The following is a 24,849-nucleotide window of genomic DNA, read 5'->3' as shown; positions in this document are numbered from 1 at the left end:
GGGTACTCAGGAACCTGGGAACCATTGTGGTGTAGGTGATGGAAGTAGCTGTGGCAAGATGATCAACTGGGTCCCAAGACATACTTACTGGTATTGGCAGTGGCTGTGGTATGGCGTCACTACTGACAGCCCCAGACACACAATTATCAGGCTCTCTCACTCTCTGTGGCAGCAATATCACAACACTATACAAAGTAGGGGATGGATCCCACCTTTCACATGCAAGCCTGAGCATGGAGGCCATGCAACCAGCAAGGGTGCACTTGGCACTCCCAGCCCCAAACAGGCAGCCCTCTGATTCACCTACCTCAGCCTCTAGCAGCAGCGGTAGTGGTAGGCCTGCAGTGCTGTGTGGAGGGGCAGAAGGGGTTCTGCTCTCTGTGCATGAGTCTGAGCACAGAGGCAGCTCACAGTGGGAGGGGCTCTCATTCTCTGCTTACAAGGCCAAGCACAAAAGTTGTGCTGCTGCTGAGGTTGGGGTTGCTTGTCTCAGCCCCAAAGGGAGCTCCTGGGCTCTAGAAACATGTGCTTTGGTTTCCTTTGCCCTAGGGGCTGCAATTTTGGGCATTTACACTGTCATTTCCATGAGGAATAGTACTTCCTGTGGGCTGGAGTACTGGGGGCTCTCCAGCATCCTTGGGTCTAGCCAGTGCTGTGCCACTGTAGTCCTTTGGTGGGAATGGGAAATGTCAATGGGGACTTACAGGATGTGGATATATGGGGGATGTTCCCAGGCTGGATTCTGTCCTGTGATGGCTATTTTCTCAAAATGGTGCCCAGTTGCAGCTGCTTAAGTCTCAGAGGTGAGGAAGTGAATGACCTAGTGTGAGTTCCCTGTCTGGTATAATGCCCTTGTGGTGTCTCTGAATCATCATCCACAGTAGTGTCAGGGGTTTATGTGAGTAAAAGAACTCTGCTTGGTTGGGATTGCAGCAGGCTGCAGTGGGGATGTGGACCACTGAAGTTCTCTCACTTACCCTTTCCCTGTAATACCAAGCCCCTGGGGGCTCCTGGCCAATATCAACTGAGCTGGCTGCATGCTTCCCTCTCCTTCTGTGCCTCTAGTGGTCCCCATGAGTTCTCTGTTGGACTCTAGTGTCCTCTCCTAGGTGTTCTATTCATGGTATGATTATTCATAATTTTGGTTTTTCTTTCTGGGGAGGACAGGTGTGCAATGTTTCTAGTTAGCCATCTTGAACTAGAATTGCTTCACTTTTCTTGATGCAGGAAGACTGTCTTCATTTTTTTGTTTGTTTTGTTTTGTTTTTTATACTAGAATAGTGACAATTCTACAATAAATTTTCTGTGGAGTTGGGAACGTTTTGTTTTCAAACTGTAAATTTTTGTTTATAAAAGGGAATTAGCTCCCAGCTTGGAGGTATTTTAGTTGCTGTTGCCTATTATAGATCTTGTTGTTTCAGAAAAAGACACAGTAGTCTTAAAGATAAATAGATATTCTATCACAGTGTATATAAACTGTTAATGAGTTACCACAGATTCTTAAATGACTTATGATAGTCATTAAGCTTCTCCAAATAGAAAGGAGCTTACAGATTCATGGATTTATATGCAGCATGTCTGATTTTGAAACCTGCTGACAACCACCTTCCAGAATTTAATCCTACCTAAGAGGGGATTTTCTAGTTTAGGATAAAGAAGAGTTCTGAGTGATTCAAGGAGTCATTCAAGTGAAAAATCACCTAGTAGGCTTCACTCATCTAAGGCCTACTTACCTCATTATTTATCTCAATTATTATTTTTCTGACATTATCTGAAAAGCATAGACAATTTATTATGAAATGTTTAAGAACACCTAATCCCTACCCCCAGTAACTGGTGTCACCGTTGATCCACATAGTTAAGATAGTTCTGTTAGTTCATTGTTGTCCATGTGTGGAAACATGAAATCTGCAGATCTTAAAGACTCTTTGAAGAAATCAGAACCTTCTTCATTTGAACATTAAGACAGAATAATAATAAACAGGAACTCCTACAAGTTCCGGGGGTAAGATAGTCCTTGAATTGCAGTCCTGGTCCTGACAGTTACTATTTGGGAAAATCTGGGCAAGGAATTTATTTTCTCCAATGTCACTTATATCTCTGTGTTTTGAGAGTTGGATAAGATTATGTAAATCCTCTAGTCCAATACTTAGTCCATCATAATTGTAGCTTTTACTACATAACAGTGGCTGTGGAGCCTAGGCAGGAAAAGATGTTGCTCGTTTGAGGGTAACTGAGATGACAGTAACTTTGGAGGTCAAAACAAAAAGCAGAAAATAAAACACTTCAATCTGCGTATTGTGAAGCCTGCAGGGATATGAGCATGGTCCCTGACTTGTTACAAACTAAGCCTTCTACTTTATTGATTTCCACAAAGAACTGGCCAGGGCAAGCATGCTGCTTTAGCTGATAGCAGAGAGGCCATGTGCTAAGGATTGTGGTGGTTTTAAAACCTGCACAGTCTTTAAAACTTGGTATTTTAGATGAATCCCAAATGGCTTTATTGTTGTTATTAAACTACAAGTATAAATGGGAAGTTCTCTTTCTTACCTTTTTTCTCCATTTGCAATTTTAAACATTGTTTATCGCTTATTATATAACAAATTGACCAAAACATACTGGCTTAAAACAAAATGTGAGTCACTTTTCTCACAGGTTTGTGGGTTTTTTGGATGGCTCTTCTGCTGGCCTTACCTGGGCCCAGTCACTCAGCTGGTGGTCAGCTAGGGCTGATCTTTGCTAGGACAAATTGGCCCAGCTACTGAAGGCTTCATTCTGAGCTTCTTCATATGTCATTGGTCTCAGGGCAGCATTTTAAGAGGATAAAGGAGGAAGCTGCAAAGTGCCTGGAGGCCTAGGTCCCAAACATCACATAATATCACTTCCTCCACATGTTTCTGGCCAAGGCAAGTCACAAGACCAGTCCAGATTCAAGGGAAGAATATAGATTTTATCTTTAATGGACTAAGTGGAAGAATCATATGACAAGCAGACATGGGAATAATTATTGTGGTCTTTTTTTATTAAAAAAAAGAAATTTGGCTGGGCGGTGTCGCTCATGCCTATAATCCCAGCACTTTGGGAAGCCGAGGCAGGCATTTGAAGCCAGGAGATTGAGACCAGCCTGGGGCAATATGGTGGAACCTTGTCTCTACTAAAAATACAACAATTAGCTGGGCATGGTGGTGTGTGGCTGTAATCCCAGCTACTCAGGAGGCTGAGGTGGGAGGATGGCTTGAGCCCAGGAGGTGGAGTTGCAGTGAGCCAAGATGGTGCCACTGCACTCCACACAACAAGACTCCATCTCAAAAAATAAAAATAAATAAATAAATAAATACATAGAATCTACCTTGGCTTTTCATAAAGAAGTAGTCAGGTGGATTTATAATAAGGAAAATGATGCTAAGTGACCAAAAATGCAGGGAAAGCTCCTGCTGTGAAGAGCAAAGCAAAATTTGTTCCCTCAAATGACTGCTTAATTACTTGTACCTTGCCAAGTTGATTGTTTACCTTGGCCAGGGTGACTGTATGTCCAGGTTTGTTCAGGGCAGTTCTGTTTGTTTACTTTCCCAAAGTAAAATAAAAAATAGTACTCTCTCTTCTTCTCAAAAAAACCAATTTTTGCTGGATAAACATAAAATAAGTTTTCTGTTCCCATTAAGTATAGTTCAACTGTATACATTTGTACTTTGACATTCCATCATGCTATGATAAAAATAATTTTGACTAGCCTTTGACCTTTATACACTACTGAGGCCATTTTCAAGGACAGGTGTATTCACAGAGGGGAAATTTTAAAAATTCCACCATTCTAGGTCCTCTGTCATTAATATATTAATTGGTAGCTGTAGAATCTTTTAGCAAGAAGGTGGCTGTTGAGCCCAGACTCTCTGTGGGAGCTGCCTAAGGAGTCACTTCATCCAAGGGCAAGATTCAGGAACAAATAGGCAGGGAGAGGAAATACCACTAAGAGAGTAAATGCTCAACATCTACCTCCCTATAACTAAAAATTAGGTAATGTACCAAATTTATGTAATTTCCACTATTACAGAAAACTTACGTAAATAGGCATTTTATGTAAAATACAAAAAAATGCAAAATAATGACAATAACCGAAACAATGGAAAAGTCATTACAGCTAATAGTCAAATAAATAAAAATGAAGCAACTTTGAGATAGTGTTTACTGCATTCATGCTCTGCCTTTCTTTTTTTTTTTTTTTTTTTTTTTGAGACAGAGTCTCACCCTGTCGCCCAGGCTGGAGTGCAGTGACGCGATCTTGGCTCACAGCAACCTCCTCCTCCTGGATTCAAGCAGTTCTCCTGCCTCAACCTCCCGAGTAGCTGGGACTACAGGTGCCCACCACCACACTCGGCTAATTTTTTGTATTTTTGGTAGAGATGGGGTTTCACCATGTTAGCCAGGATGGTCTCGATCTCCTGACCTGGTGATCCAACCGCCTCGGGCTCCCAAAGTGCTGGGATTACAGGTGTGAGCCACCATGCCCGGCCTCATGTTCCCCTTTTATTGTCCTCCAGAATTATAACATCTAAATGTTTGATATAATACATGTAGCTAATCAATGAGAGGCAATAATAAGTGGTCTAGCTCCCCAAAGTCAGGCTGTCTGTATTTAAATCCAGTTTCACACCTTACTAACCATGTAATTTGGAGCAAGCTGCTTTCTCTCTGTGTCTGTTTTCTCATCTGAATAAATGGAATTGACCATAATATCCACCTTACAGAATTTTTGTAAGAAACAAATGAGTTAATAAACACTTGAAAAATATTAGCTATTATTTTATTGCTGTAGGCCTTGGACATTGATGCAAACCTTTTAAAATGTAAAATGGCAATGCATATCAAGCACTATAAAAATGTTCTTTACTTTGCCTCAGTAAACACATTTCTAAAAATTTACCTCAAGAAATAATTCAACAGAAGAATAAAGATCTACACTGGGAAATGTCTGGTGCAATGTTATTTCCTTTTTATGACAAATGCTGTCAATTGTTTCATTTTCCAACATTGTTTACAATGCTTGAGTTAAATGGAATTGTTAATATTTTTATTCTCATGTTACAAATTAGAAAACATGAATTCAGATTCTGGTAAATTTCTAAATGTTCACCAATCATAACTAGTTCAATTTATTATGGCATACCAATAAAATGTATACTATCTAGTTATTAAAAAGAATTAAGAAAATCTGGTTGTAGAGATATGAAAAGATCTAAGATATAATAAGCAATAAAACAAATAGTTCAATACCATTTAAAGTGTGATCCTGTGCGTGTGTGTGTGTGTGTGTGTATTTATGCTGAGAACATTCTGAAATAATATATAAATAACTATGGAGTAGGAAATAGAGTGAAGGGATTCTTTGACTTTTTATTTTATATGCTGCTTATTTTCTTAAATGAACATGGAATAATTCAACGATAATAATAATATTGTTATAAAAGGAGAAAAATAAATTCTATGGAGAAAGAGAGAAAGTGGAAGAATGGAAAGCATGCTGTATTCTAGGTCCCATTATGGCTAAAAGTCCATGGAGTTTTACTGGCACCAGGCTACAGGGTGGTGATTTTTGCCAGCCATATGCAGTGGCCTAGGGTCCAGCAATGAGAAAGTAGAGAGTTGACTGATACAGGATTGAAATTTATATCAGGAAAGTGAGATGAGAAAATTGAAGATATTGGCCAGAGAGTCATTAACATGATGGGTAGGTCTGTAGATGGGAAGAATAAAGGTCAAGTGGGGGCTGATAAGGAGAAAGAAAAAGGTCAAGTGGTGATAAATTCTGAGAAGGTTAAAGAACAGAAGTATAAGAGGTGACTGAGTGAGGAAACTTGCAGGGGAGGGTGAGGAGGTCAGTTGCAGGCATAGAATCTTTGAAATAATCCCTTCTAATCTCCCTATTTTACCTCATCATCTGTGAGGATTAAACTTCCTCTGACTCCCTAATGCACTATTACTGCCTCACATTTTAAATAAATGGTAAAAATGATGCAGACTAGTTTTTCCCTAAAATCCTCCCTTTCATAATTTAATTTACACTACCATTTTTTTTTTTTTTTAAAAACAGGATCTCACTGTATCACCCAGGCTGGAGTACAGTGGCGTGATAATGTCTCACTGCAGCCTTGAACTCCCTAGCTCAAGTGATCCTCCCGTCTCAGCCTCCTGAGTAGCTGAGAGAACAGGCATGCACCACCACACTTGGTTAATTTTTTGTTTTTATTTTGTAGAGATAGGGTCTCACTATGTTGCCCAGGCTGGTCTTGAACTCCTGACCTCAAGCGATCCTCCTACCTCAGCCTCCCAAAGTGCTGGGATTACAGGCATGAGCCATCGCACCCAGCCTATGACGGTCTTTGATCCTATAAATTCAGCATTTCCTTACTCCAATCCAACAAGAATAAAATCAGTCTTATTTCAAGGTCTTTCCTGAAAAAGGCTTGAATTACTTTTCCACACTATGCTTCCACTTAAAAAGAAAAAAATGATGACTGCCTAAGTTCAAATCTCTCATACAATATTTAAAGAAAATATTTCTAGTCTATGGGTAGCAGGAACCTTGAACTGATTCCATAGAAATAGAAAGAAGAAAACTTAATATACACTCATTTACTTAAATGTGTTTATTGAATGATGGTTATTTAAGATCTTTTGAACAAATAACACAGATCTTTGTCATTTGTTGCTTTTTAAATAACTTTCTTATTATTAGAAAAATAAGAGTTTTTTATTTGAAAGTATCTGTTGAATTGTTTCATTTACCTTAAAAAACAAGAGAAGACTGCCAAGTGTCAATGTGCTAAATGCTAATTATTATTTTTCAATCTTAAAATAGTGAAGTCGAATATATTAGGAAGCCTTTGGAGAAACCATTCTAAAAGCAATTGTATATTGGAGTTCTAAAGAATGGTTGGTTTACACACCTACATTCTTGGGCTGTCACCTGGGAAAAATTATTTGGAAAAACACATATTTGCTGCAACTCAACTTTAAAATAAACTTTTAATTTTAGAAAAAAATTTAGATTTTCAGAAAAGTTGGACAGGTATTATGCAAAGTTCCCATGTGTCTCATATAAGCCTTCCCCTATTATTAACATTTTGTGCAAGTGTGGTACATTTAGTATAATTAGTGGACTAATATTGATACCTTATTTTTATCTACAGCTCATACTTCATTCAGATTTTCATAGTTTTTACCTTTTTGTTCCAGGATTCTATCCAGGATAGTACATTTTATTTAATCATCATATATCCCTAGTTTCTTCTTGGCTATGACAGTTTCTCACATTTCTTTGTTTTTATGACCTTGACAGTTTTAGTCAGGCTCTTTGTAGAATGTCTCTCTACTGGAATTTGTCTGGGACTTTTTGCATAGGTCAGGCTAGTGTTACATGTTTTTGAGGAGGACAATTCTCATCAACATCATATCGAGGGCACATATTATCAACATTACTTAGCGCTGTTGAGGATCATGTGGATCACTTGGATAAGACAGTGTTTGTCAGGACCTCCCATGTAAATTTACTCTTTTTTTTCTTCTTGCCATAGTGCTTTTTGGAAGGAAATCACTGTACACAGACCACATTTAAGGAGTGGGGAGTTCTGCTCCACCTCCTTGAGGGCTGAGTTTCTACAAACATTATTTGGAATTCTTGTGTACTGAAGATTTGCCCTTTCTCCATTTATTTATTCAATTATTTATTTATATCAGTATGGATGTTAGGTTATTTATTTTATACTTTGGGTTATAATCTATTATTGCTCTATTTATTTAGTTGCTCAAGTTTTTGTAACATTGGCCACTGGGAGCACCTTCAATTGTTCCCTTTCTTCTTTTGAATAAACCTATCATTAATTTTTTTTTTGAGGGGTATGTGAGAACAGGGTCTTGCTCTGTTGCTCAGGCTGGAGTGCGGTGGCTCGATCTTAGCTCACTGCAACCTCGACTTCTCAGCCCACCCCAGCCTTTCAAGTAGCTGAGACTGCAGGTGTGTGCCACCACACCTGGCCAAATTTTAAATACTTTGCAATGTTGCCAAGGCTGGCTTAGAACTCCTGGGCTCAAGTGATCTGCCCGCCTCGGCCTCTCAAAGTGCTGGGATTACAGGTATGAGCCACCAGGCCTGGCCTGAGTTTTTTTCTCTTTCTTTTTTTGATTACTTCTTTTCTTTCTGGAACTACCAGCCTCACCTTCTATACTTCTTTTCACATCCAGAAAATTATCTATTCATCTATTTCTCTAAGTATCCCTAGTTCTTTTGTTTTTTTTTTTTTTTTTTTGGAGAATGATATTAGAAGAACCAAGATCTGGCACTGGCTGTGCTTTGCTGCTATTGAGGTGTCATTGCAACTAGACCCTGTTTCATTGCTACTAGACTGTGTCCATGGACAAAGTAAGGAAATGTATGTTTTTAGAGTAATCTGTATATATATACACATTTATGAATATCTTTTTATATAACCTCTATATATTATATACAATATTAAGCTAAATATTAGTTTATACCTATTAATCTAACTCTAATCCATTAACAGATGAGCATTCTAGCCTCCTCCTGTTGCTAATCTGTAATCTCCCTTTCCAACAATGAGAAATCTGGCTTCCAACATATGTCATGTGTGTCCTTAATTTTTCAATTTCGGCATACACATGTATCAGTATTGGAATTGTTAACCTAAACTCCTATGGGCCAAGCAATTTTATCAACTAGAGTACAGTGCTTATGTACAGATCCTTTTGTCTTCAGTCTTAATCACTAAACACATTTGCAAAGTTGCTTGGTCAATACCTTGTCCTACCACTCTCTTCAGTGAAGTTGTTTTATACATTTGTAATATATAAATTCTGCATTGTATCTTGGGATTCCCCCGATCTCCTAATTGATTTTATAACAATTCTGCATACATTAAGTTTCACTTTTTGTGCTGTGAATTTTTATGGGTTTTGAAAAAGGCATAGTGTCATGTATTCACCATTATAGTACCCCACAGAATAGCTATGTAAATACTCCTCTAAAATTCCCCTGTGCTTCACCGATTCAGTCCTTCCTGCTTGTCTCATCAGTTCCTGGCGACTAATGATCATTTTGCTATATTTATTGTTTTGTCTTTTTTGGAATATCATATGTAGTCTTTTCAGAAGGGGCTCTTCCACTTAATAATATGTACTTAAGATTTATCTGTATCCTTCCAAAGTCTAACAGCTTATTTTTTAATTGCTGAATATCTCATTTTATATTTCATAGATGTACCAGTGTTTGTTTTTCTGTTTTTCTATCAAAGGTCATTTTGGTTGTCTTCCAGTTTGGGCTGATTACAAATAAATGTGCAATAAAAATTTGCATGTAGTTTCTAGGTAAACGTGCTTTCAAATCAGTTGGGTAAATATTTGGAAGCACAATTGCTGGGTCATATGGTAAGGTTATCTTTAGCTTTTTAGAAATTGCCAAATTGTCTTCCAAGGTAGTGGTAACATTTTGTATTCTCACCAACAGTGAGTGTAAACTACTGTTGATCTGCATCCTTACTAGGAATTGGTATTGTCAGTCTTCTTGGATTTTAGTTATTCTAATAGGCATGTAGAGGTATCTTGTTGTTTTAATTTGAAATTTCTTGAGGAAAATTTATGTTGATCAGTTTTTCATATGCTGTTTGACATCTGTATTCCTTTTTTTGATGAGCTATCTGTGCAGATCTTTTGCCCATTTTTAAAAATTTCTTACTCTTGACTTTTAAGAGTTGTCTGTATATTTTGGATATAAGTCAGATATGTGTTCTGCAAATATTTTATTCTAGTCTGTGTCTTGTCTTTTGATACCTTAATAGTGTCTTTTGCAGAGGAAGTTTTTGATTTTAACAAAGTCCAATTTATCACATTTTTATTTCACAGCTTGAACTTTTATGGTTATATCTAAGAACTCACCACCAAATAAAAGGACATCGAGTATAGCTTTTATATTCTACATTTAGGTCTATGTTTCTTTTTGTTATGGAAGCCTTGTGCTTGGTTATTTTTATGTATATGGATGTCCGGTTGTTCTGACACATTGTTGAAAAGACTATCTTTTCCCTACTGAATTGTCTGTTTCTTTGGAAAAAAATCAACTGGCTATATTTGTGTGGGTCTAGTTCTGGGTTTTCTATTTGTTTCATTCTTCCATTTTTTTTCTACTCTTTTGCCATTACAACACAATGTTGATAACTGTAGTTTTGTAATAAGTCTTAAAATCAGATAGTATGAGTCCTATAACTTTGTTCATCTTTTTCAGTATTGCGTTGACTATTCTATTTCTTTGACTCTTCCATAAAAAATTTACAATCGGGTTGCTGTTGCTGATATCTACAAAATTAATTGCTGAGATTTTTGGGGTTTTGTTTAATCTATAGACCTATTTGAGAAGAATTAACATCTTGATAATATTGAGTCTTTCAATCTATGAGCATGGGATATCTTTTCATTTATTTAGAACTTCTTGGATTTATTTCATCAGATTTTTATAGTTTTCTGCATATAGACCTCATACATATTTTGTTATATTTATTCTTATTTCATTTTTTGGAATTAATAATTATATAACTTAAAAATTATAAAATTTATATATTATAAAATTATAAAATGTTTAACATGAAATTCAAGTTGTTCATTGCTAATGTATAGCAAAGAAATTGACTTTTGTATATTAACCTTGTATCTTGCACCAGTGCCACACTTCCTTATTTGTCTCCATAGTTTATTGTTCTTGTAATTAGTTCTTTAGTATTTTCTACATATAAGTCATGTCATTTACAACAAAAACAAAAGACAAATTTATTTCTTCTCTTTACATTTGTGTACATTTTATTTCCATTTTCTACCTTAACTGTCTAGGAATTCCATTATGAAGTTGAATAGGAATGGGTAAGAGGATATTCTTGCCTTTTCCCTGATTTTAGAGGAAAAGTATCTAGTTTCTTATCATTAAATATAATGTTAACTGAAGGTTGTTTGTAGATAAGTTAAATAAATTCTTCTCTGTTACTACTCTGCTGAGAGTTTTTATTTTGAATACATGTTGAATTTTATAAAAATGCTTTTTCTGTATTTGATAAAATCATATCGTTTTTCTTATTTTTGCCTGTTCAGGTAGTGAATTACATTTATTTTCATATGTTGACCCAGACTTGCATAACTGAAATAAATATCACTTTTTCATACATAGTTAGATATGATATTCTATATATTTTTGTTGAGCATTTTTGCATTTATATTTATGACAGATATTGGTCTATGCTTTACCTTTCTTCTAGTGTCTCTATCTAGTTTTTATATTAAAGTAATTCTGTCATAATAGAATAAGAGGAAGTGTTCTTTCTGATTCTACTTTCTGGAAAGGATGGTTAAGAATGAATAAGATCTAATATTTGATAGCACAACAGGGGGACTGGAGTCAAAATAATTTAATTGTACATTTAAAAATAACTAAAAGAGTATAATAGGATTGTTTGTAATGCAAAGGTTAAATGCTTGAGGTGATGGACATCCAATTTACCCTGATGTGATTATTATGCATTGCATGCATGTATCAAAATATCTCATGTAACCCATAAGTATATACACATACTATTTACTCACAAAAATTTTTCTTAAAAAAGAATTGGTATCATTTCTTCTTTTAATGTTTTGTAGCATTCACAAATGAGCTAATCTGGAACTGGTACTTTTTTTTCAGAAGGTTATTAATTATTGATTCAATTTTTTAAATAGAAGACTTTTCAGATAGTAAAACCCATTTATAAAAGGGCATTCTTTTTCAGCACAATTTTAAAATCACTACAACCCAGGTAAGATCAAACATCATAAATATATACCTAATCACAACCACCAAAAATGGTAGGTGTTATGGAAACCAGTGATATAAAAAAAATGACCTCTTAAAAATGGATGGGGTGTTATCTTCTTTCTTTCTCTCATTTTCTGTCCTTACTGCCCACTGGCCATTACAGGATAACCCTCTGTGTTCCCTGTGGTTAGTTTACTTCTATTTAAAAAATCAGTTATTTCATAGTGGAAAAAGATTCCACCAACTCAACACAAATATATCCATAAACTTATTCACAGTTTACCATGTGATTCCCATCAAAGCCTCCCCATTTTGAAAATAGCATTCAAGGTCCCATATGCTCTCTGGCCTCAGTTCTCAATATACCTCTTCTCACATCCTACACTTCCACCATATTTCAGAATTTGTAGTCTTACTAACAAGCACTGCCCTCCTTGACTTTCAGGCTTTTGTACATGCTATTTCTTTACTTGTAACACTCACTTGCCTCTTTCCTGGCTAGTTCAAATACATTCTTCAGATATCACCCTAAATATCACTCCTCAGAAGTCTTCCTTGCCTTCCCCTTTCATTAATTCTCTCCTTCCTCCTCACAAGGTAAAATAAATGCCTCTTCTATATACTTTCTCAGTATTATATATTAATCTCTATAACTTAAAAATACTGAAACTTCTTCCTTACTAGCAATACTTACTACCACTAGCCTGTGTGTTATTCTCCGTTTATAATCCCCAGCACCTAACTGTTAGCCTTGTGTGTTGCAGGTGCTTGTTAATGAAACAGAATGTTAAAATGTGAGCCTTTACCTGTTTTCAAAATGCTGTTGGGAATAATGGAGAAGGCAAGAATCTACCACTTTTACAGAGTGTTGTTAGTTCATTTATCCAGGACTTGGAAAATATATGGTTCCAAATAGGTTCTGAGACCCTTTGTCTCTCTCTTGCCTCTGGGTTGTACACAAGGAGACTTAGGGATTCTATTTTGTTGTTGTTGTCGTTGTTGTTGTTGTTTTTGTTGTTTTGTTTTTTTGAGACAGGGTCTAGCTCTGTCGACCAGGCTGGAGTGCAGTGGTGAGCGATCTTGGCTCAGTACAAACTCTGCTCCCTGGGCTCAAACAATTTCCCTGCATTAGCCTCCTGAGTAGATGGGACCACAGGTCCGGAAGCCATTATGCCCAGCTAATTTTTGCATTTTTAGTGGAGACAGCATTTTGTCTTGTTGCCCAGGCTGGTCTCCAACACCTGAGTTCAAGCAATCTGCCTGCCTTGGCCTCTCAAGGTGATGGGATTACAGGCATGAGCCACCACTCCCGGCCCAATTTAAGGATTCTGTAGAAAAGTGTTTAGTTATTTCTCCTAATACCTAATGTAAATGACGAGTTGAAGGGTGCAGCAAACCAACATGGCACACGTACACCTATGAAACAAACCTGCCCGTTGTGCACATGTACCCCAGAACTTAAAGTATAATAATAATAATAATAATAATAATAATAAAGTGTTTAGTGTAATTTTTTTTGAGGATAGTCATAATATTGTCTCTAATCTCTTATACTCTCTACCTCCTAACTCAAGTCATGGAAAGAGATACTTCAAAGAAACAACTCATGGCCCTAGAGTATGGAGGACACATGGACCACTGCTTGATTTACATGTAGTAAAATCTAACTGTGAGCAGCTTTCTGGAACTTTTCCTGAGAGCGAAGCAAGAGGAGGGGCACATGCTGGACTTCCTCCAACAGTTGAGCAAGAATATATGACAGTGGATATGACTACTTGTCCTGTGGGCTTGCATAGCTTTGAAAATGCCTCAGACAAGAGATTTGCTGTCCTGGATGATCCCACAGAGAGAGTTTGTGTGGGCTGTCCCACCAGAAACAATATCTAAAAGGGGAGGTGTAGGTGTTAAGCCAAGAGAACATCAACTGTGCTAGGAATGTGTGGTAGTAGATTTCCAATAGGCACTTCTCTGAATAAATCATAAAAGCACTCCATAAAGAAGAAAGAGCATCTTCCAAAAAGTGAGCATTTGACAGCCAAGATAGAATCATAGGCAGTATTAAATAACTAAAAAACAAAACAAAGATCTTGTTTTCTAACATCATTCTTGAGTGAAAGGAACCAAGAACAACTGAATTTAGCTGGAGTCTAGGGCTAAGACAGTGAATGCACAAAATAGGCCTTAAGCATCTCCTACTTCCAGAAAGTGAGAAAGTAATAACACTACCAATATCACACAACAACAACAGCAATCCCATCCCTTCATTCCTCCCCCACCACCACACACACAGTGCTAGGGGTGTGTCAAAGGGGTCCAGGAGCCAACTGAAAGAATTTTCAGTGGTCAAAGCTGGAAGAATTTTAGCAACAAAATGAAGTAATTGGCTTATAACTCAAAGTTTAAAATAAGTACCCATGATTCTATACAGTTATGAGTAAATGACTGAATAAATAAACGTGGGAGAGTAGCTAAGTCTCTCATATAGCAAAATTCTAAATAATTTCTGTAGATACTCTGCCCTCAAGGAGGTGGAACATAACTCCCACTCTTAAATATGGTCTGCACTTACTGACTTTTTTTTTCCCCAAAAAACTACCATAGGGAAAAGAGAAAAGAAGGATAACTTTAGAGTAGAGAAACCAGACAAAAAGTGCCTTATCCAGGTGATTAAGGTCAAATCAATAGTGATATGTCATATGTAGATAATATGTACCTTTGACATGATGTGATGAGAATGATACTCCACTTCTGTGGACTTCCTCCCCAAATCCTGGTTTAATTATGAGAAAAACATCAGACAAATCTCAATTGAGAGACACTCTACAAAATAATTGACCAGTCCTAAAACTTGTCGTAGAAAACTGGAAAAGTCTGAGAAAGTCAGAGACAAGAGGATCCCAAGGAGATACAATGTCTAATTGAAAGAAGGTGTGTGGGATGGAATCGTAAAACAGAAAAATGAACTAAGAAAATCTGCATAAAGTCTGAACTTTAGATAATAATAATGTATCAATGTTCATCAATGTAGATAATAATGTTCCTAATTATAACATATGAGCCATATGAATGAAATATGTTGATAAGACTAGAAACTGGCCATGGGATATATGGGAACTCTCTTTACTATCTTAACAATTATTCTGACTATCTAGAACTGCTCTAAAATAAGAAGATATATTTATAAAAATGTTGTTGTAAAGAAAAGAAAAAAAAACTCATATTCTCTTTTCCTTTATACTTGTTCCCTGTTATAAAAGGAGAGTACAGGGCATATAGAATAAGAAGGGCCAAGGACAGAACCTATACCCTCCTTTTCCCCCATAGGTTTCTAAGGCTGAGAGGCGAGAGCTGGAGAGGGATGAAGAGAAGATTTAAACTTACTGAGAGATTGAAGTTTTAATTTTGATTGGAATAGAATTATTTAATCATTAAATTAAATTAATTATTTAATATCTAATAATGCCACTGTTAATACCAGAAAAAAAATGGAAAAGGCTATGGGAACTTTCTGAGATATAATTTGGGGAAAGAAAGGATTACCCCAGAAAAAGTAGAATTGAAAGTTACTTTATAAGCCAAGTAATATTGTTTCTTGATTCCACTCTACACATGTAGGTAGTTCAATATACTTGTTAAATTAAATATTCATTGAGTAAATGAGTGCATCCACACATAAACAGGCATTTCAGCTTCACACGCTGTTTGTATATTGCACCCACCTTACAGTCATCACCAGTGTTTGTTTGCATTTACATAGTTGCTCAGGACCTGGGTCTGGAAATCGGAAAACCTTGATGAGGTTTGCTTGAGGTGAGGGACTGGAGAAGCCAAATGGTTGGAAGGGATGGAAGGCATTTCTTCTCCATTCAGCTCCATGGCCTGGGTTGATACCTTATGGAAAGAGAGAGAAAGCTCAAAATAATTGCTGCAACAGTGCGGGCAAGGCTACCTTTTCCTAGCGGGATTTAGCCAGCAGGAGAGGTAAGTGGGGCAGGAAAGAAAAGGGAGAATAACTGCAGTTGGTAAAGTCCCTTTTCTAGACTCTCAAAACATAGTTGACAGCATCTGTGACAGGGACTATTTTCTTGGGTAGGCAGGTAAGGTCTCAAAGTTACTGTAGTTTTGACCTAAAGATAAATTTGACCCCATTTGAAATGTAAAATTGGTATGACTAGCAACACTGGGGATACACATGTATTTTATTTGATCCCTGGGTGTAAGAGATCCAATGTTATTCTTATATCCATTTTTATGACAAAGAAACTGGGGTTCAGAGTTCGGATTTCCTTGAGGTCACACAGGTAATAAACTAGTAAAGGTGAGACTCAGTCTTAGCAATGCATTCTCTGCATTTCATATATAAAACTCAATATAAATTGTCATTAATTTTTGGTTAGACAAAATTATACATTGGTTGAGCATCAATAACAGGACATGCAGTAAGCAAAATGCCAAACTTTCAGTGTGTTACCACATGCTCATAGGGACTGTATTAATCATTTTGGTTTTATAGGGAACTTATGGGGGCAGTTGTTCAGTTGTTTGTTTCTGACTTGAATTTAGCAGCCACAGATCAGCAAGTGTGGAAAATGCCAGATGGGGAAGCTGCACTGTGCTTCCAGTGAGTGGCCTGGCCCATGCCCATTTCATGAGAGTTTGATTTCACACCCACCAAACTCGTTATTGCAAGGTTTTTACAAAAGACCTCCTTTCCTCTTTGGTTAGACCATTTTCTTTATAGATTGATTAAGCTGCTATTCATAGCTAGCACCATCCCCTTCATGAGTCATTGAATTCTTTCTGGAACATCTTGAGTTCCAGGTGACATAAATTTCAATTTGCATCTTTTCTGCCCAACTTCTCCCACACACATGAGAAAATATTGTTCAAGCATATTACTGAAAGTTTCATAGACCTCTAGTTACCTGGGTTTTTACCACCCACTTGAACAGAACCTAGGTAGAGGAAAAATAAAACTGCCTATGCTCCTTTCTCTTATATATTTTTGTGGCTTCACTTGACAGCTTTAATAAATGTAGGATACAAATTCCAGGTCCACTCTTGGACCTTTGAAAACTAATTTATACTTTAGTAACATTTACTTTTTTACAACCTATAGCCATTTGTGAGTAGATTTTTTTTTTTTTGTATCCATTAGATGATTATGTTTTCAGCAGATTAGGGAAATGAGTGGAGAAGGTGTTCAAGACCACTTGGGTTTTTACAGTAAGAACAAATTGGCAGCAGCAGGTGTAATGTGTTTGGGAAGAGAAGCAGCATGTACAGCATGTGCATGCCAAATTGCTAGCTAATACAGCAGTTGCTGGCTCCTACAATGCACAGTTGTAGCACATATATATTTTTTAAGTAGGTTTTTTTCCACGCTGTGATTAATTTTCTTCCATGTAACACAATTGAACAAGATTGTGAGCCTCTCTCATGCCAGCCATTACCTCTTGTACTTTCTAAATAGCATCTACAGCCCCATTCCCTGCCCCTGTGAATTCAGGATCAGATGGTATAGGAGTCTTATCATTACAGGTCTCTGGGATAATCTCATATGCAAAATGATATGCCTATACTGATGCTCAATTTAGAATAGTTGTGGTGCTCTGTTTCAGGTAATCTGAAGGAAAATGAATTATTGGAAATAATGATAATAGAAAGAATAGAACTTCTATCTATTTCTAATAGAAATGGAACTTCTATCTATTTCTAATAGATAGAAATGGAACTTCTATCTATTTCTAATAGATAGAAATGGAACTTCTATCTATTTCTAATAGATAGAAATGGAACTTCTATCTATTTCTAATAGATAGAAATGGAACTTCTATCTATTTCTAATAGATAGAAATGGAACTTCTATCTATTTCCAAAGTTCATGAATAATTGTTGTCCACTGACCTTGATGATTTGAAAGCTAGTATATCAATCAATAACCTATTAATTTGACAGTAACTTGGGTAGTTTGTTTGCTTGCCCTTGGTTTCCAATAGGACTTGGGAAGCTGGATCTGAGAGATAACAGCTGTGTAGAAATACTTGAGTGCTTTTCTTGTATAGCACAAAACTTGGAGAAACAGCCTCTAAAGCTTTTTGAGAAATATAAAATATGTACTTATTTTTGTCCTTCTGGATCTTATATCCTTTCTGCAAAGAGTAAACAAAAGTATATTTTTTTAACCTGATGCATTTTTCTCTGCTATGTTATTTTTGGTCCTTTTCTTTATACCCCCAAATAATGACAAAAGATGGCACTCTTTTGCCCCTTCAAGAAATAAGTCCACATGTATTTCTGACATATTTCTTCCAGAAATCTCACAAAGACAAAGTGAGAGAAGAGTTCTAAGTTACACTTTGCTCTAAGGATAAATCCTATACATATTGTACAATTAGGACATGTCCTGCACCTGGGCCAGAGTTCATGTAATAAGATATAGTTCCATATAACAATGCATGTATCAAGCCTGTTGAGTTATGAAACAGCACCTTGCAATCTACTACAGAAGCTGAAATTGTGTGGGAAGTGGATTAAATGATTTTGACCCAATTTATTTAATGTATCTCCCTCTGTCAGGTTTAACTTTATCCAGTAAAATAGAATAGATTCTGCCTTTTCTAAGTCTTCAAAAATGTCTCAGGCATTTTGGGGGTGGAGGTGAAGCTAATGAGAAAATCTGATTTTCAATACATATTTTGTCTTCTTGTAATATTTGAACACCAAAAATGGACCACATAAACACGTTCTTTGTAACCTGTGTTGGGTTCATTTTTCTGAGTAGAACTAACACCTAGATTTTCACCACAGCTGTCGTGTGAAGTCTTTAATTCTCAGTTCTCTCAAATTAACTATATCTCTTAATTAGAGATTCCTAAGAAAAATTTAACTATTAGAATTATCTCTTCAGATGCATGTTTAAAACAGGAAGTAACATAAAGAGAGAAAATTGTGTGTTGGGTTGTTTCATGTTAAGACTGCTAATATTTGCTGAGCACAATGTGACAGATACTAAGTACCTAACATTGTTTAACTCATGTAATCTACAAATGCAATAACCCTTTGCTGCTTTTGAAGTTAGAAAATTGAATCTTAGCTAGCACAACTAGTAAGTGGCAAAGATGGGATTTGAACCCAAGTATTTTCTCCCCACCCAGTCTTCTAGTCCTGGGGCCTACTTTCTTAACCACAATGCTCTCCTGGGTAATTCCTCTATGTGTCAGCTACTAGATGGCATCAAAAAGAGCTGGACTATTTTCATTCCACAGCTCCCTCCACCCCATTGCCTCTGTACCATATTTTCAAGTCCTCAAATAGAGCGAAGTCTGCGTATCTTCCCTTGGGGGTCTCTGCATTTGCTGGTTTCTATGTATTAGAGTTTCCCAGAGAAACAGAAGCAATAGGATATCTATCTATCTATCTATCTATCTATCTATCTATCTATCTATCTATCTATCTATCTACCTACCTATCTATCTATCTATCCATTCATCCAATCTATCTAATTTATTATAAGGAATTGGCTCATGTGATTTGGAGTCTGGCAAGTCCCACGATTATCTGAGTGAGTCAGCAAGCAGGAGACACAAGAGAGCTAAGAGTTTAATTCTAGTCTGAAGGCTGGCAGTCACGAGACCCAGGAAGAAACATGTTTCCATTCATGTCTGAAGGGGAGAAAAAGCCAATGTCCCATTCAGAGGCAGTCAGGCAGAAAGAATCCTCCATTACTTGAGGGAGGGTCTAACATTTTATTCTATTCACTTCCTCAACTGATTAGATGAGGCCCACTCACATTACAAAGGGCAATCTGCTTTACTAAGCCTACCAATTTAAATGTTAATCTCATCAAAAGCCAGCTGTATAGAAACACCCAGAATAATATTTAACTAAATATCTGGGCACTCCATGGCTTAGTCAAGTTGACACATAAAATTAACTATCATAGTTTGATTCGGAACCACTCTTCTTTCCTTCTTTGCACACTTGTCTCTTTCTTATGCTTTGAATGAGATATTTCTAACTCTGAAAGGCCATCTTTGACCACTCTGTATAAAACAAGTTTCTTCTCCCCTTAATCCACTGACATTATCTCCTTCACAGCATTTATCACTTTTTATAACTCACATTACAAATGAGATATGCATTTATTTGTTTACCTATTTAACACTTGCTTCCCTCCCTACTTCCCCCATTTAAATGTTGGCTGTATGAAAGTAGAGAACATGTAGACTTTGTTTTAGGAACTCTATTCTATTAAATAAATGAACGCAGATGTTCAATACAATATTTAACATGTTAGGTTTAGCAAAATTGTGGTTATGGTTTGTATGTGTGTTTGTCTTTTTTGGTAGAAATAGGCAATAAAACATATTCACTTTTTAGTTACAAGAGACCACAGTAACAGATTCCCTGGGAACTTAAATTTAAGAGGACTATAATTTCTCTCTGAGACTAAAATTTACATGAAAATGTAATAGATCACAGTCAAGATGGTTAAATCACTTTAAAAAGTTGTAGCAGTAAAGTGAGGTCCAATTGTAAGCTCATTCGTGTTGTATTATTTCTAAAGGACAGCATTTGTTAAGGGCTGAAATATGTCCCCCCATTCATATATTAAATCCCTAACCCCCAGTACCTTAGAAGATGACTATATTTGGAGATAAGGGTTGAAAGAGGTGATTAAGTTAAAATGAAGCCATCAGTGTGGCCCCTAATCCAATCTGACTCGTGTCCTTATAAGAAGAGGAAATTTGAACACACAAAGAGAGACCAGGGATGTCTGTGCTCACAGAGGAAATACCATGTGAAGATACATGAAGAAGACAGCCATCTATAAGCCAAGGAGAGAGGTCTCAGGAGAAAACCAACCTGCCAACTCCTTGATTTTGGACTTCTAGCGTCCAGAACTATGAGAGGATAAATTTCTGTTAAGTCATCCCATATTTGATATTGTGTTAGGCAGCCCTAGCAGACTAATACAGCATCTAACAATCAGAGAAAAGTTGGACATTCATAGAAAAATAAGATAGTCACGAGGCAAATCTCATCATTACGGGTTTAAGCATCACTCAAGGAAGAAAGACCACAGCGTGTGTGTATCCATCTTGTTGACAAGATTTTCTGTGATGAAGATGAGATGAATTCATCAGCCAATCTCAGCCTGATGCCCTCACATCTTCAATTTTTGTGTCATTCACAAAATAAACATCATTATGTATATGGCAGACAAACTTCTCAGAAGGCTCCCATAATCCTCAGCTCCGGTATTTGCACCTTTGTGTGGTTTTTCCCTCTCCTAGATTGTGAGTAGAACCTGTGACTTTCTTCCAACCAACAGAAATTGGCAGAAGGACAGGACTCACATGGTTACATGAGTGTAACATGTTAAGTAATATGTGTTTATGTTGCATGAGATGATAGCATCCATCTTGCTGGCATCTCTTTTGCTAGTTTTGAGAAAGTAAACAGCCATGTTAGGGAACCCATGTAAAAAGGAACTGCAGATGACCTCTAGCAGCTGAGGGCATCCGCTGACCAACAGCCAAAAATTGGTGATTTCCAATCAGAATAAGAGAGAAAAAGCCAGCATTTATTAAGTTCAAGGCACTATTCTATATGACGCACAAAAGCAAACTCAATTCTAAAAATGGATACATATATTATGCCCCTTTTACATATGAGAAAAGCTAGCACTGAAGGCTAAAATAACATGTACGTTTTTATAACTGGTAAATGATAAGGCTGGGACTTTTTGCTGACTTTCATATAGCAAAATGTCTTTCACAATACAACCAGTCTCAATCCACGACTCCATGAATTATTTTCTTCTTTCTCTTCCCATTTATATTTCCCCTAATAGACAGAAAAACTCTTCTAGGACAGGAACTGTGTTATGTGATTGTATGTTGTCCATAGAGAATAGCATAGAACTAGACATAAAAAATGAACTAAATTTTTTTGCAGAAAATACATACAATGGTATCTTACTGAGTATCTCTTCCTAATTCTGTCATCAGTGATCTCATGTTGGTAGGCTTGAAATTGGACATGATAGGAGGATTTTCACCACAGACACTGAACACTACACATCAAGGCTTGACTTACTGTTTTCTTGATTATCTAGGTTTAAGAAAATGGTGAACAATATGTTGATCATGCAGATTAAAGGTAAAAGGGTTTAGCAACACAAAAAATGTACATATAGTTGAATTGTAGTTATAGGTTGGTATGGATACAAGAATAGGCAAAAATCTAGGAAAGCATTATTAAGAAATCAGTGACTATATGAAATTTAATAGACTATTGGATACTTTATTACTTGTAAATTATGTGATACCTTTGTATCTGTAAGATTTATAATAAACGTATATACATATTTATGTTTACATGCCTATGTGCATGTGTACATGGACACATCACTCTTATTGCAAGTTACTAGTTTCTTTATAGCTTTTTAAGTAAAATGTTTACAAATAGCATAAACCTTACCGTGGAAAATATAGCACATTCTGTGGATATCTAGAAGGTTTGTTAAATACTGTTATGTTTAAACTGTTCCTTGTATTTGAACATTCTAGATTTGGATTTGATATTTGTATCGTAGTGGGTGTAGAGGGATCAGATGATAAGTTGTAGTGCAAATCCTTGAGTGTCATTGCAAACTACAGGTGTGCTTTTGGTTTAAAAGGTGTAACTGAAAGGGCCTTATAAATGACTGGTGCTTTTTTTCCCCCTTGGAGATATGATTATATGAATTTCTTTTATGGCTTTGGTATTTCTACTTTAAGTTATCTGTAATTATTATCTCCAATTGTCAATAGATATTTCTCATACTATATTTTTTTATATATTATTTTCAAGTGGAATCCATGGTGCAGATAAGGAAGTTAAAAAACATGTTAGGAAAAAAAAATTGGTCATAATGTAGAAAGACATATCTATGATCTTACCAGGTAGATTGCATAATGTTGAGGTAAAAGGCAACTTTTTATTTAAAAAATACCTTTTCTTGAAATGTAAGTGAAGTTGTACTTTGGGCTTAGTAGACACCATTTCCAAGGAATAAACACTTTTATTTCTGCCCTTTACAATTCTGGAACGTTCTGCTACTAGAATGCAATTCTACTAGATCAGGGATGTTTCCCTGCTTTTTTCACTGCCATATCCCAGCATCATGTAAATATTTGGTGCATATTAGAAGCTCAATAAATATTTACTAATTAAATGAATCAGCCCCAGGTAGATATTGAGTGGAAATGCAGCTGTGTTACTCGTAGGCTATTGGGAAATCAATAACGATATCTAGGCTAGTTAAAACACATTTGAACGTGGACTCTACAACGTGGTGTATTTGTAACAGCTATGAAAGGGCACAGGTGGGAATTCAATCTCTTAAATGTAACCTGAGCACAGACAATATGTGGTTTTGCACACAGAACCTTGAGTTACTTGAGTAACTAGGTAGGTGATATTTACAGTAACCAGAGGGTAAAAAGGATGTAATGGTAGAGTGTAATTATCATAGCTTCTTTTTTGTGACATAGCATTGTTTATGTCATATTTGTACTACTTCTGGTTTCATGTCAGCTTTTCAGGAAGATCTGTATTGACATGGGCATGAGATTGAAGCAGATGATACTAGCCAATAATAGTAATATTTATTGAGTGTTTCCAGTATGCCATCCCTGTCCTAAGCACTTTACACTCATCTCATTATCTCATTTAATACGGACGAAGGCTTTGTGAATTACCTATTCTGATTATTTCATCGTGTTGATGAGAAGTGAGGAACTCAGAGGTGTTTACATTATTATTTTTCCTTGTAGAGCTTTTACATTCATGATATAGCAGCAACAGAAATATATGAGACAGATAGTAAGGTATGGTGGAGAAAGTAGAAGGTTTATAGAATTAGCTAATTAATCTTTGTCAACTCACAACCCACCCTGGACCTCAGTCTTCTCATCTGTAAAATGACAACAGGTCTTCAAAATCCTCCGTAGTTTGATAAAACATTTCTATGACTCTTGTTTTGATTTTTTTCTTGAGTGAGTCCATCTATTCTTTCTGTCCAATGGAAACTTTTGTTCTTCATTTCCCCTTTTTTTTTCTTTTTTCCTTTTGTTTGGCCTCTCATCATGATTTCACGGCACTATGGGTCAAATTGGATTTGGGACTGAACTGAGAGCCAAATAACGTGGTTAACATTTCCTAAGGTCAACCATATTTCACAGTAAATTTTCCTTCTTTCGATCCTTATAAGAATTGAAAATCAGTTCAGCTAGTTTAAGGATTCACAGTGCTCTTGTTGGATAGCTCGAGACTCTCAGTGCTAGCGAAATGTTATTTAGGGAAACTGTTCTGGTTTCAACTAAACCTACATTTTCATTCATTCATCCATCCAGGCATTTCCTCACCCAGTCACATAACAAACATGCTCTGAAGCCTGCCTGTGTGAAGCTTCATTCATAGTGGGTCACAACGAGTGTTACCTGCCTTCCCTTTAGGGAGCTGTGCAGCTGAAGGCAGGGCACCACTGTATAAACAAACAAACAAAGGTATGCTAGCATGTTGAAGTAAGTGCTGTATAAGAAGCATGCACTAGTTATTATGGCGATATGAGAAAACTTGCTGAATTCTTACTAAAAGAGTCAGGGAAACTTTATTGAGGAGAAGATATTTGTGTTCAATTCTGACAATTTTGAAAAGTATTCTGTTGACACATTGGTAATTTTCTGTCCCCCAGTGAAAGCATAACAGAAAGTGACGTGAGAACATGGTGTTTCCGGAGAAACTCACTCTGTAAGCTTCAAGTAACTTTCTCTGGCCAGGGTAAGGCTGAAAGTGACTCAAGACAGCATTTAATGTTAGTAGGTCCTAGTCATAATGCCCACATGAGAGAGAAAATAACTGCACAGAATTCTGAAGGAAGAGAGACCATTACGGTCTGTGGCAGTGTGAGGAAGCTTGGAGGGAGTGAGGGATTTTAATTGGACCTTAAGCAGATA

General features: G+C 36.5%; 1 protein-coding gene and 1 long non-coding RNA gene across 15 annotated transcripts in view, besides 1 other annotated feature; one reads left to right on the top strand and one right to left on the bottom strand.

The window, feature by feature from the left end:
• The window catches only part of INPP4B (inositol polyphosphate-4-phosphatase type II B), an 823,376-nt gene that overhangs the window by 247,351 nt on the left and 551,176 nt on the right, over positions 1–24,849 (top strand). The window lies entirely within an intron of this gene.
• LOC101927613 (uncharacterized) overlaps positions 1–24,849 on the bottom strand; it is a 100,791-nt gene that overhangs the window by 63,514 nt on the left and 12,428 nt on the right. For all 3 annotated transcript variants that reach the window (XR_007058285.1, XR_001741432.2, XR_007058284.1), the window contains exon 2: positions 15,562–15,733. This is a non-coding gene — a long non-coding RNA (uncharacterized LOC101927613). The remainder of the gene's footprint in view (positions 1–15,561; positions 15,734–24,849) is intronic.
• Positions 24,568–24,667: an enhancer, noted in NCBI's record as "active region_21939". NCBI's record gives its function as "activates an Ori minimal core promoter by ATAC-STARR-seq in GM12878 lymphoblastoid cells {active_cell/tissue: GM12878}" and the evidence as "EXISTENCE:reporter gene assay evidence [ECO:0000049][PMID:35858748]".

Source organism: Homo sapiens, chromosome 4, assembly GCF_000001405.40.
Source record: "Homo sapiens chromosome 4, GRCh38.p14 Primary Assembly".
Classification (NCBI taxonomy): Eukaryota; Metazoa; Chordata; class Mammalia; order Primates; family Hominidae; genus Homo; species Homo sapiens.
Note: the sequence above shows the minus strand (reverse complement) of the source record. Positions and strands in the feature narration are given on the sequence as shown.